Genomic DNA, 27539 nt, shown 5'->3' on the forward strand with positions numbered 1-27539 from the left:
TATAATAAACCAGAAAGGTTTGCCCAGTTTTCTACAAGTAAAAAATCATCCCCATACTTAAGCTGACGGTTCATTACTAAGGATCAAAGCTTGAAATGCAAGATCTACAGTTAATTCAAGACAGTCTCAAGGAATTTTATTACTGATATTCAATCCCAAAAGAAATTTATTCATATTTCAATACAGACTAAGAATGGCTATCTTGGGCATGAAACAAAAATGAGCATCTGAGTGCCTAACTCTGCCCAGGATGCTTCTGGGTTTTGAATTCTAAGTATAAATTACCACAACCAGAGGAGTCATCATCTCTAATTTACAATGTAAGTAACCAAGACACTTAATTACACTTCTCTATGCCTATTCAAACAGGAACTGTGAAAACCAACATAATTTGTGAATTAAGAATAACTACCAAAAAATGAGAAACTATGGAGCTAACTCTTATATTGAAAGCCTGTTCCTAAAGACTCTGATCAACGTGACAAGGAAAAAATTCTTAGTGATTATTTTTAAAAACATACAGAGTTGACCCTCGAATGACAAGAGTTTGAACTGCATGGGTCCACTTATACACGGATTTTTTTCAGCCAAACAAGGACTGAAAACACTGGATTCGTAAGATGTTAAAACCACACATGTCGAGGGCTGACATTTACAATACGCAGGTTCCGCAGGGCCAGCTACGGGACTTCTATGCACGGATTTTGTGTTACGTTGGGGGTCCTGGAACCAATTCCCTGCTTATAGCAAGAAACATCTATATTTTCTGCATAATCAAAATGTCAAGGAAATGCTAATTTCTACTGTTTACTATTAACCTCTATTAATGAATTATGAAGAAGCTCCTCCAAAATAACCAAATAAACAAAATCTTGCTAGTTAAAATGCATGTTAAATTTATGTTAAACAATCAACCTCTTAAATGGATCTCTGTTTTTACAGAGAAATCTTCCCTCAGTAATGACAGGGTATTTTTTTAAATTCCTACAACCTAATCATAAATTCTTGGGAAAATAATAAGAGCCATCATTTCCCAAATAATCAAATATTATAAAACATTCAAAGTATTATCTATATAATGCTGAAGATTCTATTTTCTAGCAGCATTATTAAGGTATTGCTGACATATAAAAAAATTGTACATATTTAAGGTGTACAATCTGATGTTTGAAGATTCTATTTAAAATTTCAGGGATAGCAAAAAAAAGTATCAAAATTATAAACATAATAGAAGGAATAAAGGATTCAATCGGTCAACAAGAAATTAATCATGACAACTGATATCTGAGAGGGAAAATGTTTAGAATACCTGTAAAAAATAAAGCATGAGGTATATAACCACTTGATTCTAAAAGTTTCTTGATCTAAAATCAAGAGCTAGTTTCACAGAATATAGAGAAAGGTAACAAGATCATCAGTAATCAGTCCACTACATTAGAAAATATTTAAAACTTTGACTTCCTGGACAATGAGCAAATTTAAAAAAAATGTAAAGGGGCCAATTATTTTCTAAGCTACTTTAAATTTCAAACAAGTACAGTATTTACTATGAAAGTTCTATAATACCTTATATAATCAGGCCAAATTTGGGGATTTAAGCCTTCCAAATCACAACCCCTCTGACAGGATTTTCAACTTCAAAGTAGTCAGCATTTTTTAAATCTGGCGTGTAAAAACCTCTGACTGCAGGAGAATTACGACTCCAATTACAAAAGACACACATTCCAATAGTCAAAACCATAGCTGTAGAAGAAAGAACTTCAAAATCTTATGAGAAAAGAATTGAAAACGATTAAACAAGATTAAGAGCAGAATTAAACAAGATTTGCATTCTGCCAATGCAGAAATATCACAGAAGAGAGGGAAATTAGATGAATGTATTTAAATTTATTTACCCAGGTTAATTTACAATAGTATTCTAAGCTCAATCAATATGGAGCCTGAAGATTATGAAAAGGAGTATGGGAAAAGAAGTAAAAGACAAGTTTAAAACAATGCTAGGAACAAAAAAACAAAAAATACAAAACAATAAAAAAGAATAAAACAATGCTAGCAAATTTTTATGAGTAGAAAATGAAAGGAACAAATGAAAATTAAGGCTTCCAATGAACTTGCCAGGCAATCTAAACTCAACATTTAAAGTACCAAAGATAACACAGAAGACAAGGAAAAGCAATGGAGGAAAAAATATCAACTACTGAACCAAAGTAGCTATCACACATGAGGCAGAGAAGTAAATGAAAAAGAATAACCCCTCACCCATCTAGATACACTTGAGAAACAGAACAAAAGACTTCCAAATAATTAAAATGCCACAAGGGTCATGTGTTTAAAGCTAAAATGCCATTCCCTGGAGCAAAGTCACTATTTTACACACAATTCTAAACAGTTTCATTCAGTTTCCAAGTAGCAAACAAGAAATGGCAAGATAATCATAACAACATGCAAGTTGGGGTAGGGGACAACGAAAGGGGAAACAAAAACTATGAAGCAAGCAAGAATTCAGAGTTCAAGTTTTAGGACCAAGCGGCATAAAGGCACAAACAACTATACAAATCAATAGTGAAGGGACATAAGTGTATTTTAACACTGTATCATGATCATCATAATTTCTATGAATAAATCTGCATTAACAAAAAAATAGTTCAATAGGCTCTGTTTCTTCTGTTTATGAAGCTAGAAGAAGACTTCTAATAAAAGATGGGGCGCTAAATACAAACTTTCCCTTCAGTTACTCCAGATACTCCACTGAAATAAAAACAACTCATAAAAGAAAGAAAATCGTAACAGTAAAGAAATTAAAATTGAGGCTAGAAAGAAAATCCAACAAATTTCTGGGAAATGAAAGTATATGTGAGATTGATAGAAATAACAAGCGGAAAAAGCCACAGCCTCATTATAACCTTTAAGAGTGACATGGAAAGGATGGGAACCAATACGTCTGAGAAGATCCCCAGGAAAGCATGATTATAAAGTAAATGGTACAGCAGAGGGTGGAAATAAATAGTAGGGTTAAAAATAAGAGAACTGAGTATTACTTGACTAACTATAAGGGACAGCTATATCTCCCATCCCCTATTTCCAAGCAGTTTCTAAACAACTGACATTTTACCTCCAGGCAAAAAAACAAGTCAGCTTTTCCCTAAAGAAAGTGAACCACTATCTAGGGAAAGCTAAGCGGAGGTGTGGCACAGAGTAAACACATCTCATCCAGCATTTAAAGGGCCCATACATAGCCTAGCAGCTAGCTCCTCTCTCTTTTACCCTAAAACAATCTGCCAAGAGACAGATCCTACTCTGTACTACCTTGCCCCACAAAGTGCTCTGGCCAGAATTCCTACTCAAAGAAAAAAAAATCTAATAGGGAAAACAGTCCAAGGAACAGGGGAGGGAGGGTGACCAGGAACCTAGTCTGTCTTTCTTAACCATGAATGGACAACCAAGAATTATCAGGCACATAAGGAAAACTGAGCATGAAAAAAGAATGATTACAAAAACAAACATAAAAACTGACCGGAGGAGAAAAGGAGATAAATTAGACACAAGGAGACACAAGGTATCTTTAAAAAAATCTAATTTGCACATTCTAAGACTCAAGACGACAATACAACATAGTGTAAAAATGGTGGGAAAAGAAAAAGAGAACAACAAAACTTACAGATTACCCCCAGGAAAATCAGCCAAAATACTAAAGGGGAAAAAAAACCCACAAAATATAAAAGATGAGAGAAGGAAGATCAAGACAGAAAGCAACTGCCTACTGAAAAGCAAAAAACATGATGAAGGGAGGAAATTATTAAAGACAGAGAAGAGTTTCCTGGAATTGGAAAAATAATCTGATTCAGACTGTAAGAGCAACTGAGTATCTAGACAAACAGCCAAACAAAACAAAAATGACCTATACACCTCATTATGACTTTGTAGAAGATACAAAAGAACGGATTCTAAAAGTTTTCAGACAGAATAAAGAACAAATCACCTTAAAAGGATAGTGAATCAGACTGATACATGACTCCTTCTTTTTTTCTTTTGAGACGGAGTCTCACCCAGGCTAGAGTGCAGTAGTTTGATCTCGGCTCACTGCAACGTCCACCTCCCAGGTTCAAGTGATTCTCCTGCCTCAGACTCCTAAGTAGCTGGGATTACAGGCACCTGCCACCATGCCCAGCTAATTTTTAGTAGAGACAGGGTTTCACTATGTTGGCCAGGCTGGTCTCAAACTCTTGACCTCATGATCCACCCGCCTCGGCCTCCCAAAGTGCTGGGATTACAGGCGTTGATGTATGACTTCTAATCAGCATCCCTAGATGCTAGAAGACAACAAAGCAATCCTTTCAGGGTTCTAAAGGAAAATTATTTCTAACTAACAATATTGTACCCAGCCAAATTATCAATCATTTGTGAGAATAGAATGGAGACTTTTTTACACAGAATTCGGAAAGTTTGCCTCTCATACATACTTCTTTTTCAAAGAGTTATTTGAAGATGTACTCCAATAAACAGATCAAGCAGATGCAAAAAAAAAAAAGGAAAAAAAAATATGTATAACAGAATGGATCCAATTCAAGAGTAAGGAGAAAGGAAGTTACAAGAAAAGACCTAGAAGAGTCCAAATGGAGGCAGAGTTACAGACAAATACAGATAAATAGAGAATGCAGCACAAAAGGCAGTATGCTGAAGAGTTGGGGTGTGGGGGGGCTGGGGTGTAGGGGAGGCTATAATAGAGGCATATAGTACAAGAAAAGAGGGCAATTTAAGACACTAAGAAAAACAGGAAGTCCTATTCAAAAACTTTTTTAATTCCAAAGTTAGATTTTGGTCATATCCAAATTTTTTTTTAATTTGATGGTCAGAATTGATAAAATAAATAAAGTCTACTAATTCTCTATATTATCAACATGTTTCTTCTGGCAGCCCAGGGACAGAAAAGGAATAATCATCTAAGCACATTATCTGGCTTAGCATTAAATAATACTTACACAGTCATGGTATCAACACTATTTATTGGTTTTCATAATTTAGAGACAACCTGTGGACATGACAGCTGAGATTACAGGGGAAAAAACGTGTATTTGTTTAGGCCAGGGGTGTCCAATCATTTGGCTTCCCTGGACCACACTGGAAGAGAAGAATTGTCTTGGGCCACCCATAAAATACACTAACACTAACAATAGCTGATGAGCTTTAAAAAACAAAAAAATCTCCTTATGTTTTAAGAAAGTTTATGAATTTGTGTTGGGCCGCATTCAAAACTGTCCTGGGCCGTGCGCAGCTCACCAGCCAGGGATTGGACAAGCTTAGTCTAGCCAATAAAAAGTACAGCTACTGGTTTAGAAGAAATAATCACAAGGTAATAAATGGAAAATTCAAGTAATTTCTAAAGCTGATAAAGAGAAAGGTGAATCAACATTAAGGCTGGGTACCAGGGTTCATGCCTGTAATCCCAACATTTTGGGAGGCAGGAGTTCAAATTCAGCCTATGCAAAATAGCGAAACCCTGTCTGTACAAAAAAAATAAAGTAGCCAGCCACAGTGGCACAAACCTGTAGTCCTAGCTACTGGGGAAGGTGAGGCAGGAGGATCCTTTGAGCTCAGGAATTCTGCACTCCAGCCTGGAGTGCAGGAGACAGGAGGAGACTCTGTCACTCAAAAAATAATACAAACATATATATAGTATATCAAGGAAGAGAGGAAAACACACACACACACACTAGAAACTAGGATGTTTTATAAAAACAACATAGCTTCCTTTATTGGATATACAGAAATGAACTGCTCCCCATGAACCTTACCCAACCCCTAAAAGGGGAAAAAGTTCTTTAATTAAGGATAATAGTTTCTTTCCATTTAAAATCATTTCTTTCAGATTCACTCATTCACTCAATCTTTAAAGCAGTAGTTCTCTACTGAGAGTGACCTTGTCCCCAGGGAACATCTGGCAATATCTTGAAACATTTTTCATTGTCACAATTAAGAAAGATGGTACTAGCATCTAGTGAGTAGAGGCCAGGGATGGTGCTATACATTCTACAATGCACAGGAACACACAACAAAGAATTATCCAGCCCAAAATATCAACAGAGTCAAGTTAAGAAACCCTACTTTAAGAAAACTCTTCAGACTTGTATAGATTTTCTCTGTTCCTCATTCTTATCATGGTGACTGGGCGTAAGATAAAGCTTTCATGGGCATCTGGAGTATTATGATTAGCCTGAATACAGACCCATGGATTGCCCTGGGGATCCTCACAGGCCTCTAAGGTTTGAATATTGGCCCTCACAGAGTCACAATGGCACATGCTGATGAATATGTTGGAACAGTATCCAGAGGATCTCCTAACTTGGCCCCACCCACCTCAGCTCCTGCTGGTACGGATATTATTACAGTCTCGACTACCTCGTCTATCCAGTCCCTGGCTTATACTTAAGGCAACACTAGCTGCTTAACAAATAAACCCCAGATTTTCGGTAGCTTCACACAATTAAAATTTCTCATTAATATTACAATCCATTGTGGGTATTCCTATTTGGTACACAAATTTCTTTCACATGGTAAATTTAGGGACTGTAGAACATTCCAATCTTATGGTTTTACTATCCCTTAAGAGCCTAAACCTCTGCATCTGGCCCTTGAATTAGAAAAGAGAAGGTGAAGAAAGAATACCTATTTTTTCTGCCACTTCAACCCAGAAGTGACAACAAATTGATTTCTATTCACATTCACTAGTGAAAAACTAGTGGCAGGCACAGTGGCTCACACCTGTAATGCCAGCACTTTGGGAGGCTGAGGCGGGCAGATCGCTTGAACTCAGCAGTTAGAGACCAGCCTGGGCAACATGGTGAAACCCCATCTCTACCAAAAATACAAAAAATTTGCCAGGCACGGTGGCACATCCCTGTAGTACCAGCTACTCGGAAGGCTAAGGCACAAGAATCACTTGAGCCCAGGAGGCGAAGGTTGCAGTGAGCCAAGATCCTGCCACTGCACTCTGGCCTGAGCAACAGAGCGATACCCCATGTCTCCAAAAAAAAAAAAAAAAAAAAAAAAAAAATGTTGCAAGCAAGAGGGAGCACAAATTTTTGTGGGCAATGAAATGAATCTGCCCTTCCCACAACCTCTGTCTACTACATGGTCCCTCCCTCACAATAGCAGCCTAATGACAGGCTTCCTGGCTCTCACTCTACTAACTTCTATTTCCTTCACTAGTCATATGTGAGAACATCCAGATCTCTTTCAGACCATGTAAGAACCATGGAAAACTCACAGAGTGCTATCTCTGGCCCCCTCTCTGCTTAAATATGCCATTTTCTTCCCTTTTGGCCACCCCAAGTCAGCATAGGGCCAGTGCAATAGGCTAGTAAGTGGCTGTACCAGTTCTGAACTTTGGCAGTCTGGCTCCAGGGTTCGTGCTATTCTGCCTCTCCAGATTTCTAAAATAGGTGATAAGACAGAGCACTTCCATTACTACCAATGGATATTTGTAAAGCACCTACATCTTGCAAAACAGCCTAGAACTATTACAAACTCCACACTATGATGCACAGCACTGCTTTTCTTTACTTCCAAATTGCTGATCTTACAAGTTATTATAATCATAACAATGCACAAAATTACACACTAAGCAAAGCTAGTCTCCAGAAGTCCCTCATCCTACTCTCCACTTGAACAATGTACCTGTGCCCTCACATCCAAAGCACCCCACCTCATTACTCTACCCGGTAATAATGTTACTTAGATTGAACTTCTCTCTCTCCAGATCTACCATACTTCCATCCCATCAAAATATACCAACATAGATTCCATAATTTCCACATGGGCCCCAGCCTTCCTTGTAAAAAATTATGTAATCTGACAAACTATTCCTGCTAATATGTAGGCATTTGGCAGCCAAAAAGCAAAAATTACCTTACTGGTGGTCATCTCAACAGGACAGATTTCAACTGTACAGATCTGTGTCCCTCAAATATCACTAAATAGGCCTGGCATGGCAGCTCACATCTATAATCCCAGCACTTTGGGAGACCAAGGTGGGAGAATCATTTGAGGCTAGGGGTTCAAGACCAAGCTGGGCAACATAGTGAGACTCTGTTTCTAAAAAAAAAAAAAAAAACTTAAAAATTAGCCAGGTGTGATGGTATTCGCCTGTAGTCCCAGCTACTTGGGAGGCAGAGACAGGAGGATCACTTGAGCCTGGGAGGTCGAGGCTGCAGTGAGCCATGGTAGTGAGTGCCACTGCACTCCAGCCTAGGTGACAGCTCAAGACCCTGTATCAGAAGAAAAAAAAAAAAGGCCAGAGGAGGTAGCTCACGCCTGTAATCTCAACACTTTGGGAGGACGAGGCAGGTGGATCACTTTACGTCAGGAGTTCGAGAACAGCCTGGCCAATATGGTGAAACCCCATCTCTACTAAAAATACAAAAAATTAGCTGGGCATGGTGGCATGCACCCGTAATCCCAGCTACTCAGGAGGCTCAGGCATGAGAATCACTTGAAACCGGGAGGCAGAGGTTGCAGTGAGCCAAGATCACACTACTGCACTCCAGCCTAGGTGACACAGTGAGACTCTATCTCAAAAAAAAAAAAAAAAAAACACTAAAAAAAAATGCATACCAATTCTGTGAATCAGCCTTATTCTTTAAAACTATTTTTTAATTATAACAACTTAGCTTTAAATACTGTTATCTATTATGTTCTTTAATTTCCAGTTACTCCGAAATTCTCTGAAATTCCCCAGTGAGAAAATGGCAACTGGATGAACAATAAAATAAATATTTGCTTTACTCTAAGTATTTTTAAGATTTAAAAATAGGATGTCAGTCAAATACAAGTAAAATGAGAGAAAAAAAATCAAGGCTATATTCCATCTTCTTATAAAGTAAAGTGCATTTTGTAAATGACACAACTAAAACAGACTCAGGAAGATCACAAGGTCAAGACGTATCAAGAGGAGCAACTGCAAATAAATTATACAAGGCAGTATATAATATGATGGTTAAAAGGATAGGCTCCAAAGTCAAAGGTCAGGTTAAACCTCAAGTTTAAATCCTTTTAGTAGGCTCTACCACCTACTACTTAACTTCTCTGTGCCTCAGGTTTAGTTCAAATCCTGGCTCCACCACTTATTTAATCTGTCAGTTGCTCAGGTTTAAAAAAAAGAAAATAGCCTGATTGCGGGGTGGTTGTCAGGATCAAATGTGATGACATGTCAAGTACTTCTAGAGTAGTACAGTACCTGGTATATAGCAGTTGACGCACATTAGCTATTAATATGACCTATAACAATTTCCCTCTGAATCTATCAAGTTTTCAAAAACTCTAAATCAAAAAGCTTCTCCTTTTTATTTGAAAAAAGTCAAGCTCTGAAACCATTTCCTCTTTTTTTCAGTCCTTTTTGAATATGGAAATTAGTAGGTAACTGGCTTATCATTTGATGACTCTTCTTAGTCTTTGTATAATAAAAAGGCTCAAGACTCTTCTTAGTCTTTTTATAATAAAATTCTCTTCCAAATATTATACAAAGGACAGACTGCTCCATGGATCAAAAACACTACAAAGAGTTCACAAAGTATAATGAAATTCTGAGATTCATAAATGAACAGCTACTGGCACAAAAAGCTTAGATAAGAAATAATGCAGATGTCTGTTTGTTTGCTCAAGAAATACTGAATTTTATAATAAAACACAGATGGTAGAGATCTTCATGGCTTATAGTCACATCACTAAAAACAGAAAATATTTTTGGTAAATTTTTTCTTAACAACCAGAAAACCCCTTATTTCATCACAACAATGAATAGATAAATGACATTACAGGCAAAGACAATTTCTTCAAAAACAAATTACGTAGAGAAAAAAAGCTTAAAGGCTCAGATTTTCAGCTACACATATCCCTTACTTTGAGCTTCAAAAATTTGAGGCTTCTAGCACTCCTTGTGGTCTGTAACATTAAGCAGTAATACAATTAGGCCTCATTTCTACCAGAAAACATTAAACTGACTGAAAGAAAATTATCTAGAATTTTGATTCTGATCAATTTAAACATAATGCCATGAGTCATCTAGATGAGTCAAGCAAATATTAGAGTTCATGATAAACGAATCAAAATATGTTTTAAAGATCTGCAGACAAACGTTTTAATAATTTTGTATTTGCTGAAGTCCTCCTATGTGTGACACATTGAGGTAGGCACATTCATATTGAGGTATGCACTTTCACATGCATTATATAACTTTGTTCTCCCAACGATCATGGATTATTATCCTGATTTTACAAATGAGAAAACTAAGACCAAGTGATTGGCCGATGGAAACGACGCTTGTATAAGATTCAGTCAGAACACCAATTCAAATTTTCTGACCCTTATCGTACTTCCAAAACTCAAGTACTGTCAATCTCTGCTGTTGCAAAGCAAGTTAATCTTTTTATTTAGGGAGAGGTGAAAATAGAGATGGGAGAATAAAAATTCTTCATAATGTTACAAAAAAAGACTTACTGTGCTTTATCTGACATAATTTATTCAGTCTGACTTAAATGCTTTGCTGCACGTTGTCTACCCCCTTAGACACTGCTTATCTTCAGACACACAGCCCACACCAAAACCTAACTCAAGAATCACCTCCTCCAAGAAAGTTTCCCAGATTAAATGACCTGTTCCCCTTCTCCCAAGCTAACATCCTTCCTTTATCATTTCGCTGCTTGCATTTAGTTTGGACTACATTATCAGATACTCCTTTTGTTCTCCAGTCATATATCTGGAAGTAGACTTTTTTCATTCATTAACTATTGAACATTTGGAGATTCAATGGTGAGCAAAACAGACAAGGTCCTTGCTATCATGGAGAATTTACATTATCTGGATCTTCGACAAAGGTAAAAATAACAGGGTATAAGAATATGATGCTCTAGGACTAGGATTTCTTCCCTATAAGGTCTCCGAAAATAGCTCTCTCCCTTGCAAGCTTGATAACACTTTTCAGGAAGAAAAATTCCTTCTATCACGCCTTCCACATGAGAATTTTATGACTTTGTGAGGATATGTGAGGGATGGGGACCAAGGTGGGAAGAAAGATCTAAAATCTCTCAGGGGTTTCCCACATACTGCCATGAAATATGCACACAACATGAGTCTAGACATCTCTTCCTGTGTCTCATCACAAGGAAGCTATACTTTGGCCACAACTGCTCCAGTCAAGCACTTCTACTAATCTCCTTGTACCCAGCCACCTTCACTAAAAATTGTATATTTCTCAGAGGCTTTTTGTTTTTTTGGTGTTTTTTGAGACTGAGTCTTGCTCTATCGCCCAGGCTGGAGTGCAATGGCATGATCTTGGCTCGTTGCAATCTCTGTCTCCTGGGTTCATGCGATTCTCCTGCCTCAGCCTCCCAAGTAGCTGGGATTACAGGCACACACTGCCACGCCCAGCTAATTTTTTTGTATTTTTAGTAGAGACGGGGTTTCACCATGTTGGCCAGGCGGGTCTTGAACTTCTGACCTCATGATCTGCCCACCTCAGCCTCCCAAAGTGCTAGCATTACAGGCGTGAGCCACCGGGCCTGGCCTCTCAAAGGCTTTTTTATTCAAGTTGTGTTTCTGTCTTATTTGCAGGTCATTATTTGTAAGATTAAGGCAGGACCTATGTCCTCTTTGAATTGCCTGATGCTCCAAGAACATTGCTATAAATGTTTTTAACTTTCAATATAATACAAACATTACAACATGACATTTCAGGCATTGTTATTAGGATAATATTAGGATAAAAGTTTTCCAAATTAATATTAGAAAACTAGATCTATGTACTGTATCAATTCTTTGTCTTTAATGCCTTAATTCAAGTAATCTACTTTTGAAGGATTATTTACAAACCAAAGCCAAGTTGAAATGTACTAACACTGGTTAAAATTCTGCAATTCATACTTTTAAACAAAAGATCCGCCAGACACAGTGGCTCATGACTGTAATCCCAGCACTTTGGGAGGCTGAGGCGGGCGGATCTTGAGGCCAGGAGTTGGAGACCAGCCTGGCCAACATGGTGAAACCCCATCTCTAATAAAAATACAAAAATTAGCCTGGCATGGTGGCACGCACCTGTAATCCCAGCTACTCAGGAGGCTGAAGCATAAGAATCTCTTGAACCCAGGTGGCAGAAGCTGCAGTGAGCCAAGTTGCACCACTGCACTCCAGCCTGGGATACAGAGTGAGACAGTCTTAAAAAAAAAAAAAAAAAAAATCCTTTTGTAATGCATATTTTACAAATTCATAATTTCATCATTTTTCTTAAAGCAAACTAAAACATAAATTCATTATACACAATTGTAAATTTATCCCCAAAGTGTTTTCTAAGGCTTCCAATTTTTAAATGAACCAAGGAACTGAATATTGACAAATGTATAAGTACCCTGAATGTGTTATAAAAAACATATTTGACTGTCTTTAAAATGCAGTAACATTCTAAGGAAAATACAGTAGCATCTTTCCACAGATCAGAGATTCAATAACTATTATGATTCAATCAAAGAGAAATAAACCATGGCCATTTTTAATTAAACAGGCATTTCTAAGCACCTGTGTACACGGTATTGCTGTTCAAACGGTTGACATGGAATGTGACCGCAATAACTTGATGTCCATAATTAAAGACCCAAAAGGTAGCTTAAGTTTCATCTATTTCCTTTCTCAGCCCTTTGAGCAGGTATATTATAGTCACTCCATACACGGTTAATATTAAAAAAAAATAAAAGTAACAAACATTTGAAATTAGTTGTACTTTTATAGAGAACAGTTTTAAATTGCATGGCCTTACTTTTCCTATTCCAACCTATTTTATAAAACTAGCATGATCTTAATAATTTCACTGCAAAACAGGTTCTAGCAAGCATAGAAACTGATCATAGCCTCTCAGCAAAATCAAGTTTAGATGAAACTCTAGGAAATTAGCAAAATTTAACAATCAATTCACCCACGATTCTCCACAATTCTTGCTCTCTCTAGATACGAAGGGAGGCAAAAACTGTTTTAAAGGATTATTTCAAAAGCAGCACTAATTTTGGGAAAAACTTAACTGCCATGCAGGAGACACTGTATTACTACTCAGACGTCATTTAAGTCTTCTAGCAGCAGAAAGGCAAAAACATCATTAAATTTTTTATTTAATGCATATATACTTACATTATCAGTTAAAGTTTACCCATCTGTTTACGTTGTCCAAGTTACCTATTATTTCAGAAAGCATTTAAATAAAATGAAATTAGGTTACGTTCTGCAACGCAGATGTGTCTCATAAAGAAGAGTGTTAAATGACTTTTGTGAATGGAAAATCTGCATATACTGTTGCTTCGCCTCAGCCAGTCTTGAGTGGGTGGTTCAATGAACCTAAAGCATGCTGCCTGTGAAGCTCCTTGGAACCTGATTCCACTCTTGAGAGAGGGCTTAGAAACAAACATTAAATTTAAAAGCACAGCAAAGGCTTGGCTTTCCTCCTACGTTACAAGAAGGCCGGGAGAACTGAGGCTTAGAGGAACAACACCGTGTCGCTTGGCTCTGCAAAGGCGGGTGCGGTCTGCGGTGCGCGGCACAGCCTTCTCTGGGGCTGTCACAGGAAAGAAGGAGCCTCGCCTTAACCGCACCGAGCGACAAAGCGCCAGCTCTCCTGGGCGCGGGGGCTCCCAACGAGGCCCATGCCATCAACCTATCAAACTTCAGGAGGGACAGACACCCGGGGCGGTCGAAATGCTCCAACAGCCTCCCACCCCCGTTCCCCTGCCGCGGCTTTTGTAAGGCTGCAGATGCACCTACTGTGGGCCCCTAAACACTCCACCCTGCCAGCCTTTCCAATCCCCCTACTCCAAAAGGGAACAAAGGAGCCAAAGAACTCCTCGGCGGGGGTGGCCAGGAGTCCCCGACAGCCCGAGCTCAGAACGTGGCAATAAGGGTGCGCAGTCGCCCTGAGGGGTGCGAACCCAGCACCCCAACCTCAGGAATGGAGCAACACTCACCCGTGCGGAGCTCCCAGGGAGGCGGGACGCAAGGAGCCGGTTCCTCCGAGGTCGCCGCGGCGCCGGGGTCCGAGGCCCCGTAAGCGTCTAGTCAGACCCCAACTTCTCTCGGCCGCTGTCGTCGGCGGCAGCTGGGGCGCGAGCCTGGACGAAGGGCGCTGCCCAGCGGCCGCGGAGGCACTGCCGGCTCAGCCCCCGAGCGGGGCGGGAACTTTCGGCCCCGAGGTCCACCAGCCCGGGCGGACCCCCACCTTCCCTCAGTCGGCTTGCTACCGGCAGCGGCTACTGCGGCGTCCAAAGCTAACACTACAGCCGCCGCCTGGCCAGGAGCGCGTCGCGGCCTAATGTTGTCATCCGCCGCGTCGCCGCCTTTCTGGGCACCCAGAACCGCGAAGATCCTTCACATTCTAGTGCCCTCCCCCTGCCCCGCCCGCCCCCCGGATCACGGGCTTCGGCCACGCCCTCTTCCCGTCACGTGACGGTGCGCGGAGGCGGTGGTGGAGTTGCTTCCCCTGCTAGGCGGGCTCGAACCGGGCGGGAGTCACTGTCCACCTTGCTTCGCCAGGGTGTTATCGCCAGCCAGTCCCCTTCCGCATGCCCAAGGGCAGCCTCAGGAAGCGAGCCCACCACCGTCGGCCCAGCGCCTGTTGATCGGCCAGGCCTTCTGGGCCGGTCATACTGGGCCCTTCCTAACCTGAGGAGATTGCACAGTAGGGCTCCCTGGTCTGGTCAGGGCTCAGTTAGGACCCCTCTCCAGCCTTAGGCTTGGTGAAAGCTTTAGCGAAACAGAAAAAAGAACGCATCGTGGTGTAGAGTGTATGGCCTAAGAAGCATTCGGTAACTAAACTACTTGTTCCTATTTCTAGTGGCACATTAACCGTGGCATTTAATTTACTGCTTTCCTCATTAGAGGTTTTTTTTTTTTTGAGGAAACGGTGTATTTCAATCATGCTGGGATGAAAACAGCCTAGCAAACTTATTTTTGTTCCTTGTTATGTTCAGGATCCTGCTGCCAGTTTTACAGTCATTAAGTTTTACAGTGTGTTAGGTTGGTGACAGTTTAAACGGGTACGCAGGAATTTGACAGTTTGTTCCATTTTTTAAAATAAAGCCTAATTCTTGATTTTTTTTCTAATGCCTTAATTTTTTTTTCCTAATTCCTTAACTCTAGGACTTAACCTTTTGCTTTCTTTTTTAGCCATGATCCGAAGAACCCTCTAGCCGCCTAATGAAATCCTAACTATACAGAAGTAAGGGAGGTAGAATAAAGATCATACTCAAACCCTGATCACAATGAAGGCAAATGAGAAAGCTTTCTGTAATAATTAAATTGGGGTCATAACTCATTTTCCCTTGTAGCCCAGAACTAAGGATTTTTTTCTTAAGCTATTCTCATCTCATTACATTTTCTTAACAAGAAATCAGAAGGCATTCTGATAAGCTGGATACATTGAAATGAATAAGCAATAGAGTTTGGCCTATATAATTATTATTAATATATTTCATAGCAGCTCTAAAAAAATCATAGACTTACATTGTTTTATGTTACCCAAGAAAGAAAACAAAGGCTGCCAATGAAACTATGCCATACCGCTGATATGTAAGGCACCTTTAAGCCACATCTTTTTCCTTTTTTTTTTGAGACAGGGTCTCACTCTGTCTCCCAGACTGGAGTGCAGAGGCGCAATCTCGGCCCACTGCAATTTCCGCCTCCCGGTTCAAGCGATTCTCCTCCCTTAGCCTCCCAAGGAGCTGAGATTACAGGCATGCGCCACCATGCCCAGCTAATTTTTGTATTTTTAGTAGAGAGGAGGTTTCACCATTTTGGCAAGGCTGGTGTTGAACTCGTGACCTCAAATGATTCACCCGCCTCGACCTCCCAAAATGCTGGGATTACAGGCATGAGCCACCGCGCCCGGCCTGAGACACATCTTGAATTCAGAGATGTAAACATGTCAGAAACAACGAGTCTTAGAATCTCTGAGATATTGTCATGAACTGGGAAACAACGAGTCTTAGAATCTCTGAGATATTGTCATGAACTGGGAAACAACGAGTCTTAGAATCTCTGAGATATTGTCATGAACTGGTGTTCCAAAGAGGAAAAGATTCTACCAGGTTCTGTTCTGAAGCCTGAGAGACTGTAGTACAAATAAATGTGAAGGAAGTTTATTATTCTGTGACATTATTTCAGCAAAGCTAGTAACTTTGGAGTTTGTTAACAGATTAACTTGTCTCCTGTTTTCTAGAGGCATGTTTTTCAACCTGCAACTCAAAAATCAATTTCATTTTTATATGAAATAGGCTAGGATGTAATACAATATAAAATACCAGAGTGCATAATGTCTAGTAAGGGCAAAAATTGCTTCCTGAAACTTTTTGTTTCAAATATGGTGGAAGGTGAGAGTATGTCCTATGTTGTGATTTAAACAATTTCTTACTGTGAGTTGCAATCAAATAGATTTGGAAAAGAATGTTCCTAGAGCATAGATAATATGCAAAATACACCATCTGGACCCCGTTTTTCTGGTACTTTTATTTTACTTTGGAAACTGAGACTAAAGATTAGAAAAAGGTGGCAAATTGCCTTGCCTAATTCTCTTCTGCCTCAGCCCCAATTTCATACATTGGCTTTTGAAAATTTGATCATTTGTTGGAAAAAGCAATGTACTGGAAGCAAGGAAGCCTAGGTTACAGACTTAGCTAATGAGATGTATGACTAGATAAATTACTCCCTGCATTTCAAGTTCCAATCAAGTAGGACCACATGCTGTTTGAGAAATGATACTAAACCACCTTTTTTTTTTCCCGGTGGATGGCAATCACATTGGAAACAAACAGACACGGTATACTCAGGATTATGCAAATTACTGACAGCCTACGTTTAACTTCTTTCAGCTCCACTCAAAAAAAAGAAAGTCCTAATGCAAGTAATTGAAAGTGAAGATATTGCAAAACAAATGTAAGTATATCTTTCACAATCTTCTCTACTTTGATTATCACTAGTATAATAGTTACTTGTCATGAATAACTAATGATTTTGACATACTTAACAACTGATTGCAACACAAAAATATATTAATCCACTACAGTTGAAAAATCATTTTTTCAGATCCTTTCAAATCTGATATTGTGATTCCAGGAATGATAATTCAATCTAGCATTTTCAATGTAATGACAACATAAACAGAAACTAATATGTGATCCTGCACTGTAACTGAAAAATATTCAGTAACTCCCAGAGATGCCCTGCAAGTTTGCTACTCTTACAATGATTTTAAGAATGACATTTTGAAATAAAGCTTTTTTATTATAACGATCCGATTTTAACTCCAATGAGAATTCATCTCTTTTGCCTACTGCTTTATTAATTATACATTTCTAAGAATGGGAAGTTCTTTCCAAATTAGTTTAAGCACTGACAGGCTTGACAGCCTTTCCCACAGTATATTTCAACCCTGACCTAGAATGACAGAGATGTTGCTTGAGGTTGTTTGCTTTTTTCCATTTGGCTTATCCCATTAGACAATTATGTTGCTGACAATTACTAATCAGGATTCTAGACTAAAATCCTCATTTTCTGGAAGAGAATTTAGATTAAGAGCAACCTCAGCCATAAATAAGGTATTCAACACAGCTTTGAAGACTTGTATTCTTGTTGGTCATGTGATTTGCTTTAGCCAGTGCTTTGTGAGCAGATGTTAAATGCTAAATCAAAGCAGAGGCTTTAAATTTGATTGCAAAATTCAGGTCAATCTCTTACTCTTGTGCCACCTGCCATGAGAAAGGTATGTTCCAGATAAGATCTCAGAATAAGAAAATAGATGGAGCAGACCTGAAACTCTCACCCTGTACAGAACTGAAGCAACTGACTTGCAGCTCCTGACATACGGCTACTGATGTGAAACAAGAGTAAAACAAAAATATTTGTTGTTGTGAATCACAAATATTTTTGAGATTGTTTGTTGCGTAGCATAATCTTGCAAATCATCTAAAGTGAATTTGAGCCAACAAACTCATGAGTCAAAGGCTAAATGTACTGTGGAACAATAATATTTGTCTATTTAATAAAATAAATAACAGACATCTACAAACTAGTCAACCAGCTATTTGGTAAATATCCACCTAAAATTTATGTTAAGAAGCAGTCTTTATAAAATCTGTAAATTTGCATGCAAAATGTTTGCATGTAAGATATTTACATACTGATTTTAAATATTTCTGTTTAGTATTATTTGTCTTAAATATCCCTTGAGGAAAATTTGGATAGTAAAGTATAAAGAGAATATAGGATTCTGTTTCTAGAAATATCAAGGACTAGTTCACACTTGTCACACTGAAAACAAAATCCCTGGAAAAAACATTTTTTAAATCTTATTAAATATATTGATTAACTGACAATAGGGTAAGAAATTATTAAGTTAAAAAACTAAATGAAGGCAGGAACCTAGAGTTTAGCAGAGTCAGCCAACTTTTATCTCAAGGGCATGTGCTAAACCCAGTTACTAGGAGCATTGGTTTTCGTGACCTTGTAAGAAAGACACAAAACCCATTACCTGCATTATACACACACACACACACACACACACACACACACACACACAAACAACTGCAATTCCAAGGATTATTAATTTGATGTAAGGATATACTAGAAATAAACTTGCTGCTTACTAGCATAGGCACCCATCCCCCAGAATCTACAAAGAAAATTAGCCGTCTTAAACCTTGGCACCTGGTGGACAGGGGAAAAGCAAAATCGTATCTGAGAATTTGGAACTGCAATCCAATTCTCACACAAAAACGTAGCTTGAATTCATACTAGCTGGGTGGTCCCCAAAAACTTCAGGCTAATAATTAAGATTTTTTTTTTTTTTTTTTTTTAGACAGGGATTCTCTGTCGCCCTGGCTGGAGTGCAGTGGCATGATCTCAGCTCACTGCAACCTCCGCCTCCCAGGTTCAAGCAATTCTCCTGCCTCACCCTCCCGAGTAGCTGGGACTACAGGCACGTGCCACCACGCCCAGCTAATTTTTTTATTTTTAGTAGAGACAGGGGTTTCACCATGTTGGCTAGGCTGGTCTCGAACTCCTGACCTCGGGTAATCCGCCCACCTCCGCCTCCCAAAGTGCTGGGATTATAGGCATGAGCCACTGTACCTAGGCGTAATTATGAATTTTTGACTGATAATGCTCTCAGAAACCTGGCAGAAGCAAATACCAATCCTCTCTGGAGGAACCCACCTTCATCTTAAGCCATAAAGAATGACTATAAATAAAATTTTAAGGAAAATGAGCAGCTCACATTTAAAAAAAAATAACAAGCACAGAATAAGACACCATTCGTGAGAAACAGTACAGACTTAAGACAGCACAAACAAATTTTAAAAGACTTCAGATCCTGGATTTACAAGTCACGGACTGGGCCAGGTGTGGTGGCTCATGCCTGTAATCCCAGCACTTTGGAAGGTCAAGGCAGGCAGATCACTTGAGGTCAGGTGTTTGAGCCCAGCCTAGCCAACATGGTTAAACCCCCATCTCTACTAAAAATACAAAAATTTCGCCTGTAATCCCAGCTACTGGGAAGGCTGAGGCAGGAGAATCGCTTGAACCCGGGAGGTGAAGGTTGCAGTGAGCCAAGATCGCGCCACTGCACTCCGGCCTGGGCGACAGTGAGACTCCACCTCAAAAAAAAAAAAAAAAGGGGTCACAGACTGTAAATAACAATATTAAATATGAGTAAAGGAATAAAAGACAAGTTTGAAAATATGTGCAGAGAACAAAAAACTAAAGTAGGAATGAAGATTTTGAAAAAAGCAAATAGAACTAAAAGAGTTGAAAAACATAAATGATTAGAATAAAAACTCAGTGGACAAATTTAGTAGTTCATTTGACACAGCAGAAATACAAGCCAATGAAATGGAAGATAAAGATGAAGTTAAATGCAATAAAAAAAGAAAACATAAATTAAAAATATAAAAGAGACTTTAAGTGACATGGAGGACATTGTAAACAGCTCTAAAATCTAATTATGACTTCAGATGAAAAGGAAAGAGCCAGTGGGCCAGAGGCAGTATTTGACAAGATAATGGTTGTGAACTTTCCAGAACTGATGAAAGACTCCAACTCACAGACTTAAGAAGCCTCCCAAATCCCAAGCAAGTTAAAGAATAATAAAACCACGCTGAGATATATCACAGTGAAACTGTAGAACACCAAAAACAAAAAAGAAAACCTTAAAAGCAACAAAGAAAAAATATAGTTAATCTTCAAAGTGTCAGGTAAATGACTTTTCATCAGAACCAGTGAAAAACAGAAGACAGTGGAATAATATCTTCAGTGGACTAAAAGAAAATGACTGTCAGCCTAGAATTCAGTACCCAGTGAAAAAATTATTTCAAGAATGAGGCCAAAATAAAGGAATTTTCCGGCAAGCAAAAGCAGAATTTGCCGCTAATAGAGTCTCGCTAAAGGAAAGTCTAAAGAAATTTCTTTTTTCAGACAAAAAGAAAATGATCCCAGGCCAGGCACAGTGGCTCACGCCTGTAAATCACAGCACTTTGGGAGGCTGAGGCAGGAGGATCACAGGAGTTTGAGACCAGCCTGGACAACATATTGAGATTTTATCTCTACAAAAAATTTAAAAGTTAGCTGGGCATGGTAATGTGTGCCTGTGGTCCTGACCCGGGAGGCTGAGGTAGGAGGACTGCTTGAGCCCGGGAGATCAAGGCTGCAGTGAGACATGATCACACCATTATACTCCAGCCTGGGTAATAGAGAGAGATCCTGTCTCAAAAAAAAAAAAAAGAAGAAGAAGAAGAAAATCAACTCAAATGGAAGGTCTGAGAGTTGATAATAAACGAAGAGCATTAAGAGTGGTAGATATTTGCCTAAATCTAAATACAATTGACAATGCAAACAAACAGTAAGTATTGTTAAAATTATTTTAATAAGTTTTTTTAAAGAAAAAAAAATCACATATCTAACATTAGAAATAGACCCAACCAAATTTGCATTTTATGCCTACTATTAGACCTCATTAGACAAAGTATTTTACAAACTAGTACTATTATCTCCATCTGATACATACCTTTTATTTTAAAAGCAAAAACATGATACATTTCTTCTTTTCTCATCCATAGAGGCAAATTGTATTAATATATTATTGGTATTCTCTTTTTAAATAACAGCATTTTAAGTGTTTTTCTTCACAATGACATTCTTATTTCAAATTTACATAATGTACCAGTGAAGATGATGTATTACATAATTAGACTAAGAAAGTAGCATATATTTAGGAGATCATGATTTAGAGTAATAAAAAGCAGAATTATATACTATTTTCACTTAACTATGAAGTATTAATGATTCCCTCCATAGAAGTCTATAAATGAAAGTTCATCATAACAAATTATATAATTATGTATTCACAGGTTAAAGACAATTAAGTCTTATTGAAATGCTCTGCCTACCCTTTCCACCCACGTTGCCTATTCAAAATTATGTGCATGCTATGACTTTTAACACCATCTTGGGAAATAGCTAGAAATTTGTGCGCAGGTATAAGGATTGACTACTGAGTTTTAACTCAATTCAGAGGACATCCTAAATTCAAAATAAATTCTAATAATAATAAGAACCCATTTCTGATAGCTACTTAGACTACAAATTTCCAATTGTAAATGTGTTTTTCATTTCAATTTTAGGAGAGTGTTTTTTTTTTAAGTTTATCATGACTATTTAAACATGGGAAGCTTAGAACACATAATCCCTTAGATTTCCAAATCTGTAAGTATAATGCAAATGAATTATACCTTACTTTTTTTAAACCAGAACCTTTCTCTTTTTTCCCCTCAACCACGAGATCATTCAAAGTATATTTACTTATATACTACTTTGTTTTTGTTTTAGAATCAGGGTCTCACTCTGTCACCCAGGCTGAAGTGCAGTGGCGTGCATTACAGCCTCGAACTCCTGGGTTCAAGTGATCTCCCTCCTCAGCCTCCTGAGTCACTGGGATTACAGGCATGAACCACCACACCCTAGAATATTTTCTTGATAAAACCAAATCTATAATTTTATAGAAGACTGTCCAAATGACTTTTATTTATATCTCTTAATATATGTAAAAGTGTATACATTACTAGTATTCCTATTAGCTACTAGATTGCTAGCTAATTACAAGATTATTCCAGTTAGCTTTGTCCAGCCTGTATTTATACAAGTATATGAAACTCTTGAGAAGTCACAGTAATTAAATTTTCATAAACCAGGTTGTATATTAATTCTTTCAATTTAATAAGTTATCAGTTTGTACTGGGTCCTACACTTACTTACAAAAAAAAATTATCAAGTATCTGTATGTTGTTCTACCTCTTTCCTGAAATGAGTGTAAAGCTAACAAGAGTCCTCACCCTATAAACCAGCAGTATTTCAAAACTCATTGTTACTGTTCTGGGAGTGAAGGTGCCGTATATTCTTACCGCATTATCAGGTAGCAACCATCTACTCAATCCTCCCAACCACAGGTACTACCTAGATGTCTTTTGCCAGATCTCCCAGGTATTTAGTGCCTCTTTTACCTCTACAGAACACTGGTACCCAGAAGTGATATGGTGGAAAAAGAAGGCGCCTACCCTATATTCCAATAAAGTCTGTCCACTACATTCCTGTCACGTTCATTCCTCTGTTCTAGGCCCTGTTGATATTCTCCCCTAGTTGTTTCCAGTCCATTTCTATGGGAGCCTTACTTTTGTCTGGTATTCTTACATGCACAGCTGAGACCAGACTCCCAGTCTCATTCCCTTAATTGTATCCTTTAATCCTTAATCCCTGTAATATCCTCCTGGAACTGGGATTGATATACCTCTATTGAAGACTTTATCTTTGAATGTCAGCTCACTTCCAGACATGGCCACCAACTCCACCCCATGATCGCACATTGTTATACTCCCCACTTCCTTCTGCAGTCAGCAAATAGACTTGGACCTGACATTCTTTGTGTCCTAAGCCCCCCACCCCTTCCTTAAGTTACTAAAGTAGTACACCAAAAGAATACAATTATCTGAACTGAGGGCGGGGAAAATTCCAGAGAAAAATGACCTTCGTGCAACAAACAAAGGCAAGAGAGTAAAAGGGAGGGCACTGTTAGAGATTTAAAATAGACTTACCAGATATATCAACCAAGTGCAATACGTGGATCTTTACCTTTATCAGATTCCAATTCAAACAACTTATAAAAAGATATAATGAGACAATCAGGAAAATTTTAATACCAACTACATATTACAGGATATTAAGGAATTATTGTTAATTGTCTTAGTTGTGATAATGGTACATGATTATGGTTTTTGTTTTTTTAATGTCTCATTTCCTAAAGACATTCTAAAATGTTACTGGGTCCCTGCTTTAGGAAAGAAAAAAAAAGAAGACTTTCAGAGTATGTCACTTTCTTTTTTATACCTGTCGGTCAATTCCATGGGAAAGTATTACTACTTGTTATTTTCTACCCTTAACCAAATACAGTAATCATTTTCTCCTTATCATATCTATTATTATTTTTTAGTAGAAGTGTTCAAATCAAAAGCAGCCCATGCTGCCTACCTGGTATTTGCTCCAAACATCTATTAAACCACTATGGAAGGCCTAACATCATAAGACTGGTGGTAAATAAATCTGATTGAGCATGTTAGCATGTTCAAATTTATATAAAGCATTCTGCAAATACAGATTACTCTAGAGATGCTAAGAAGCAGATGTACTGATCTCGTTGGCATTGGCATTCACATGATTCAGCTACAAATAGAATTTGAACAGATTCCAAATGCACAACTGTCAAATTCATAAAAAGTAGCAAAAAAAATGTCAAATAAAAATTTAGGCTTTGCCTAGAATAGCAGTGACTGTGTTTTAAAAAAATCGAAATATTCTGTTAATGTTTTATTTCTTCAGTGCTAATATTTGACAAGAACTAAGTACTTTGATTTCCATTGAATTCGCAGTGATAGCCCAGAAACTGTTATAAGTTAGTATTACTATTGGGTCCACAGAAAACCTCAAAATACATTTTAACCAAAATTACAAAGTTAATACAAATTTGATTCACTGAAGTAGTATAGTGCAGTGTGTTTGAGTTCTAACACCAAAATCAGACAGATCTCAGTTCTAACCCTAGCTTTGTCATTTACCACCAAGGCTGTCATCTGTAAAATCATCTGTAAAACAGGAGTTTAAAAAAAAACTCTTTTATAATATTATAAGAATTAAAGAACTCAAGAAATATAAACTATTATGGTCACTACCTTTTGGGAATATTATGTTCTATACAATATTACTAACTGTATTTTCACTACACCCAGTTGGAGAAAAATTACACACAGACCATACACTCTACCATCCTCTCATTGATAACAAGGCTTTTGTAGCAACTGGCCTGATTCTGAGGTTTATAGAAGATACATAGGCAGGCATGACTTCAGGCCATTATGCAGCTTTATGTAATAATCTACACAACCCCTAATATGTACGTATCAGGATCTTTCATGTGATGTGAAAATGAAAGCCACTTCCTTAACAACCAGGAAACACTAAATTTCAGAGTTATGTTTTCCATTCAAGTAAATCTCCAGCCAGACCTCCTCTTACAATACATGGAGTTAGCATTCCCAGCCAGTCCCCTCTTGCCACACTTATTTCTTAGTATAACAAATTACAGTAAATAAAACTTATCAGCCAGGCACTGTGTCTCCCGTCTACAATCCCAGCAATTTGAGAGCCTGAGGTGGGAGGATCACTTGAGGTCGAGAGTTCAAGATCAGTCTGGGGAACATAGCAAGACCCTGTCTCTACAAAAAATAAAACAATTAGCCATGTGTGGTGGCACATGCCTGTAATTTCACCTACTTGGGAGATTGTGGCAGGAGGATCACTTGAGCCCGGGAGTTCAAGGCTACAATGAGCTATGATTGTGCCACTGCATTCAAGCCTGGGCAACAGAGAAAGAGGGGACTGGCTCTAAAAATAAAAACAAAAACAAAACTTACATCTAAGGATGATGCAGTAATGCACACATGTCCTTATTATTATTCTTTTGCCTTCACAGTGTTGCTTAGCAACCCAGAACATCTTATCTATGATTTTGGGTGTAAAAATGGCTTTTTGAAATATTTATTTGAAATCTTTCTTTGAAACAAGTAAGATAGATATAAAGATTTCAGGCGAATTCAAGTTAAACATTTAGGGCTAGAATACTTACAGGTTATATATTTTTATATAGTATCTTTCATGCTATTTGATTAATGTACAACTATTGATATTTAGAATGACAGCTGAATTGATGATATGATGACAGGCTCATCCCTCCATTGTAAACTATGGTAAGTAATTTGTATGGCATTGCTTTGATACTACACAGATGTCCAGTTCCCCTTCAAACATAAACCTTATGCTTTAACACTTATTGAAAACCCTTACATGAGTCAGTAATTTCAATAAGAATTGCAAAACAATTATAAATATATCATTCCTTCTACATTCTGACTTTCTTTGGTAACCTAGAGCTTGCCTTTATTACCTGGAACTATTTGGTTACCCTGAAATATAACTCCTACTGGAAAGGAAAAGTAAATAATAAGTCTTTGCTTTTAATTACTAATTTTCAAAGTAAAGATATTTTGGAGACTAATGGAAAAATTTGAATTTGGGTTTTAGATAAGATAAAAATGTATTCACTTGGAAAGGTGAAGATTGTTAATTTAAAAAAGTAAATAGGTTACAAAACCACACATTGAGTATGGTATCATTTTGGTAAAAATATATTTATATATTTATGTGCATATATAGGAATAAATAATGAACTGGAAAGATATACACCGAACTGTTAATCTCTGGAAAGGGGGTTGTTTTGTTTTATTTTGCTGATATGTAGTTTTGTACTTTCTACTTGCATATGCTGGTTTTATAATAATAAAAGGTTATTTTAAAAAGAAAATCACTATTTTCCGCTGAGCCCAGATACAGCTTCTGAATCACCATCAACATGAGACTGGTACATTCCAGCATGGGAGGCTGCCAGGGCATCAGTCCAGCTGGTTACTTCTTCGAAGAAGTAACTACTGATTTCCTTTTGCCTATTGATTTCCATTGCCTATGCATCTTACCTGTGGCTCAAGATTACCTTGGCACTAAATCCAATTAGCCTTTTCACTTTGGCAGCCCTTACCAATTGGCAACTTCTTTGTCTCTTGGTTTGCTTTTGGGCAAAAATTACCTTCTTCTTTAGTTTTTGAGTCATTATATCCTCTTGGTTTTCTTCCTACCTTTCTGACTTCTCAGTCTCCTTTGAAAGTTTACAGCTTCTTTAATTTCCCCCACAATTCCATACTCAGCCTTCTCTCTTCACTCTATATCTTTTTCCCAAAAAAGGGAGGAGAAAAGAGAATACATTTTATGTTCTAATTCTTGTTAATCTATCAAATAGATATCTCTAGCCTTGTTCTCTCTCCTGAAGAACATAGTCACATATATAATCACAAATTATTATAATCTCCATTTAGACATTTCACCTGAAAAATATATAAAACTTAATTCAATCTCTATGCATTAATTTTTCAATAGTTATTAGTCATCTTCTGAGCATCGGGTTATGCTAGAAACTGAAATACATATTAGCATGAGTAAAACTGGCATAGCTGGAAATTAAGTTGAAGAAGTAAATGGAGACCAAATCCTATAGGAGATTTAATGGAATGTGTATTAGTCTGTTCTCACGCTGCTAATAAAGACATACCCAAGACAGGGTAATTTATAAAAGAAAGAGGTTTAATTGACTCACAGTTCCACATGGCTGGGAGGCCTCACAATCATGGCGGAAAGCTAATGAGGAGCAAAGTCACATCTTACATGGTGGAAGGCAAGAGAGAGAGCATGTGCAGGCGAACTCCCTTTTATAAAACCATCAGATCGACCAGGTGCAGTGTCTCACACCTGTAATCCCAACACTTTGGGATGCTGAGGTGGGCAGATCACCTGAGGTCAGGAGTTTGAGACCAGCCTGGCCAACATGGCGAAACCCTGTCTCTACTAAAAAATGCAAAAATTAGCTGGGTGTGGTGGCGCGCACCTGTAATCCCAGCTACTAGGTATGCTGAGGCAGGAGAATCGCTTGAACCCAGGAGGTGGAGATTGCAGTGAGCCAAGATCGTGCCACCGCACTCCAGCCTGGGCAACAGAGCAAGACCCTGTCTCAAAAAAAAAAAAAAAACAGCTGGGTGCAGTGGCTCACACCTGTAATCCCAGCACTTTGGGAGGCCAAGGCGGGCAGATCACGGGGTCAGGAGATCAAGACCATCCTGACCAACACAATGAAACCCTGTCTGTACTAAAAATACAAAAAAACTAGCCGCACGTGGTGGTGCGTGACTGTAGTCCCAGCTACTGAGGAGGCTGAGGCAGGAGAATCGCTTGAACCTGGGAGACAGAGGTTGCAGTGAGCTGACATGGCACCACTGCACTCCAGCCTGGGCAACAGAGCGAGACTGTCAAAAAAAAAACAA

The 27539-nt window shown here is 38.3% G+C and overlaps 1 protein-coding gene and 1 long non-coding RNA gene across 18 annotated transcripts in view, besides 2 other annotated features; one reads left to right on the forward strand and one right to left on the reverse strand.

Annotated features, from left to right (window-relative positions):
* OSBPL8 (oxysterol binding protein like 8) overlaps positions 1–14366 on the reverse strand; it is a 207975-nt gene extending 193609 nt beyond the window's left edge. For 12 of the 16 annotated variants that reach the window (NM_001003712.2, NM_001319653.2, NM_020841.5 and 9 more), the window contains exon 1: positions 13992–14366. Coding sequence is in view for 3 of the 16 variants with exons in the window: in XM_047428247.1 (XP_047284203.1) it covers positions 13165–13166 (2 nt within the window). In the remaining 13 variants the exon portion in view is untranslated. Of the gene's footprint in view, positions 1–13164; positions 13604–13991 lie in introns of those variants that run through there. The other 4 variants (XM_047428247.1, XM_017018768.3, XM_047428246.1 and 1 more) reach the window with 1 other exon arrangement.
* Positions 13287–13596: an enhancer, noted in NCBI's record as "active region_6678". NCBI's record gives its function as "activates an Ori minimal core promoter by ATAC-STARR-seq in GM12878 lymphoblastoid cells {active_cell/tissue: GM12878}" and the evidence as "EXISTENCE:reporter gene assay evidence [ECO:0000049][PMID:35858748]".
* Positions 14007–14196: a silencer, noted in NCBI's record as "silent region_4671". NCBI's record gives its function as "represses an Ori minimal core promoter by ATAC-STARR-seq in GM12878 lymphoblastoid cells {active_cell/tissue: GM12878}" and the evidence as "EXISTENCE:reporter gene assay evidence [ECO:0000049][PMID:35858748]".
* A 130-nt stretch (positions 14367–14496) lies between the features above and the next one.
* The window catches only part of LOC105369850 (uncharacterized), a 55530-nt gene continuing 42487 nt past the window's right edge, over positions 14497–27539 (forward strand). For both annotated transcript variants that reach the window (NR_188081.1, NR_188080.1), the window contains exons 1-3: positions 14497–14828; positions 16890–16953; positions 25306–25361. This is a non-coding gene — a long non-coding RNA (uncharacterized LOC105369850). The remainder of the gene's footprint in view (positions 14829–16889; positions 16954–25305; positions 25362–27539) is intronic.

This window comes from Homo sapiens, chromosome 12 (assembly GCF_000001405.40).
Source record: "Homo sapiens chromosome 12, GRCh38.p14 Primary Assembly".
NCBI classification, from domain to species: Eukaryota; Metazoa; Chordata; class Mammalia; order Primates; family Hominidae; genus Homo; species Homo sapiens.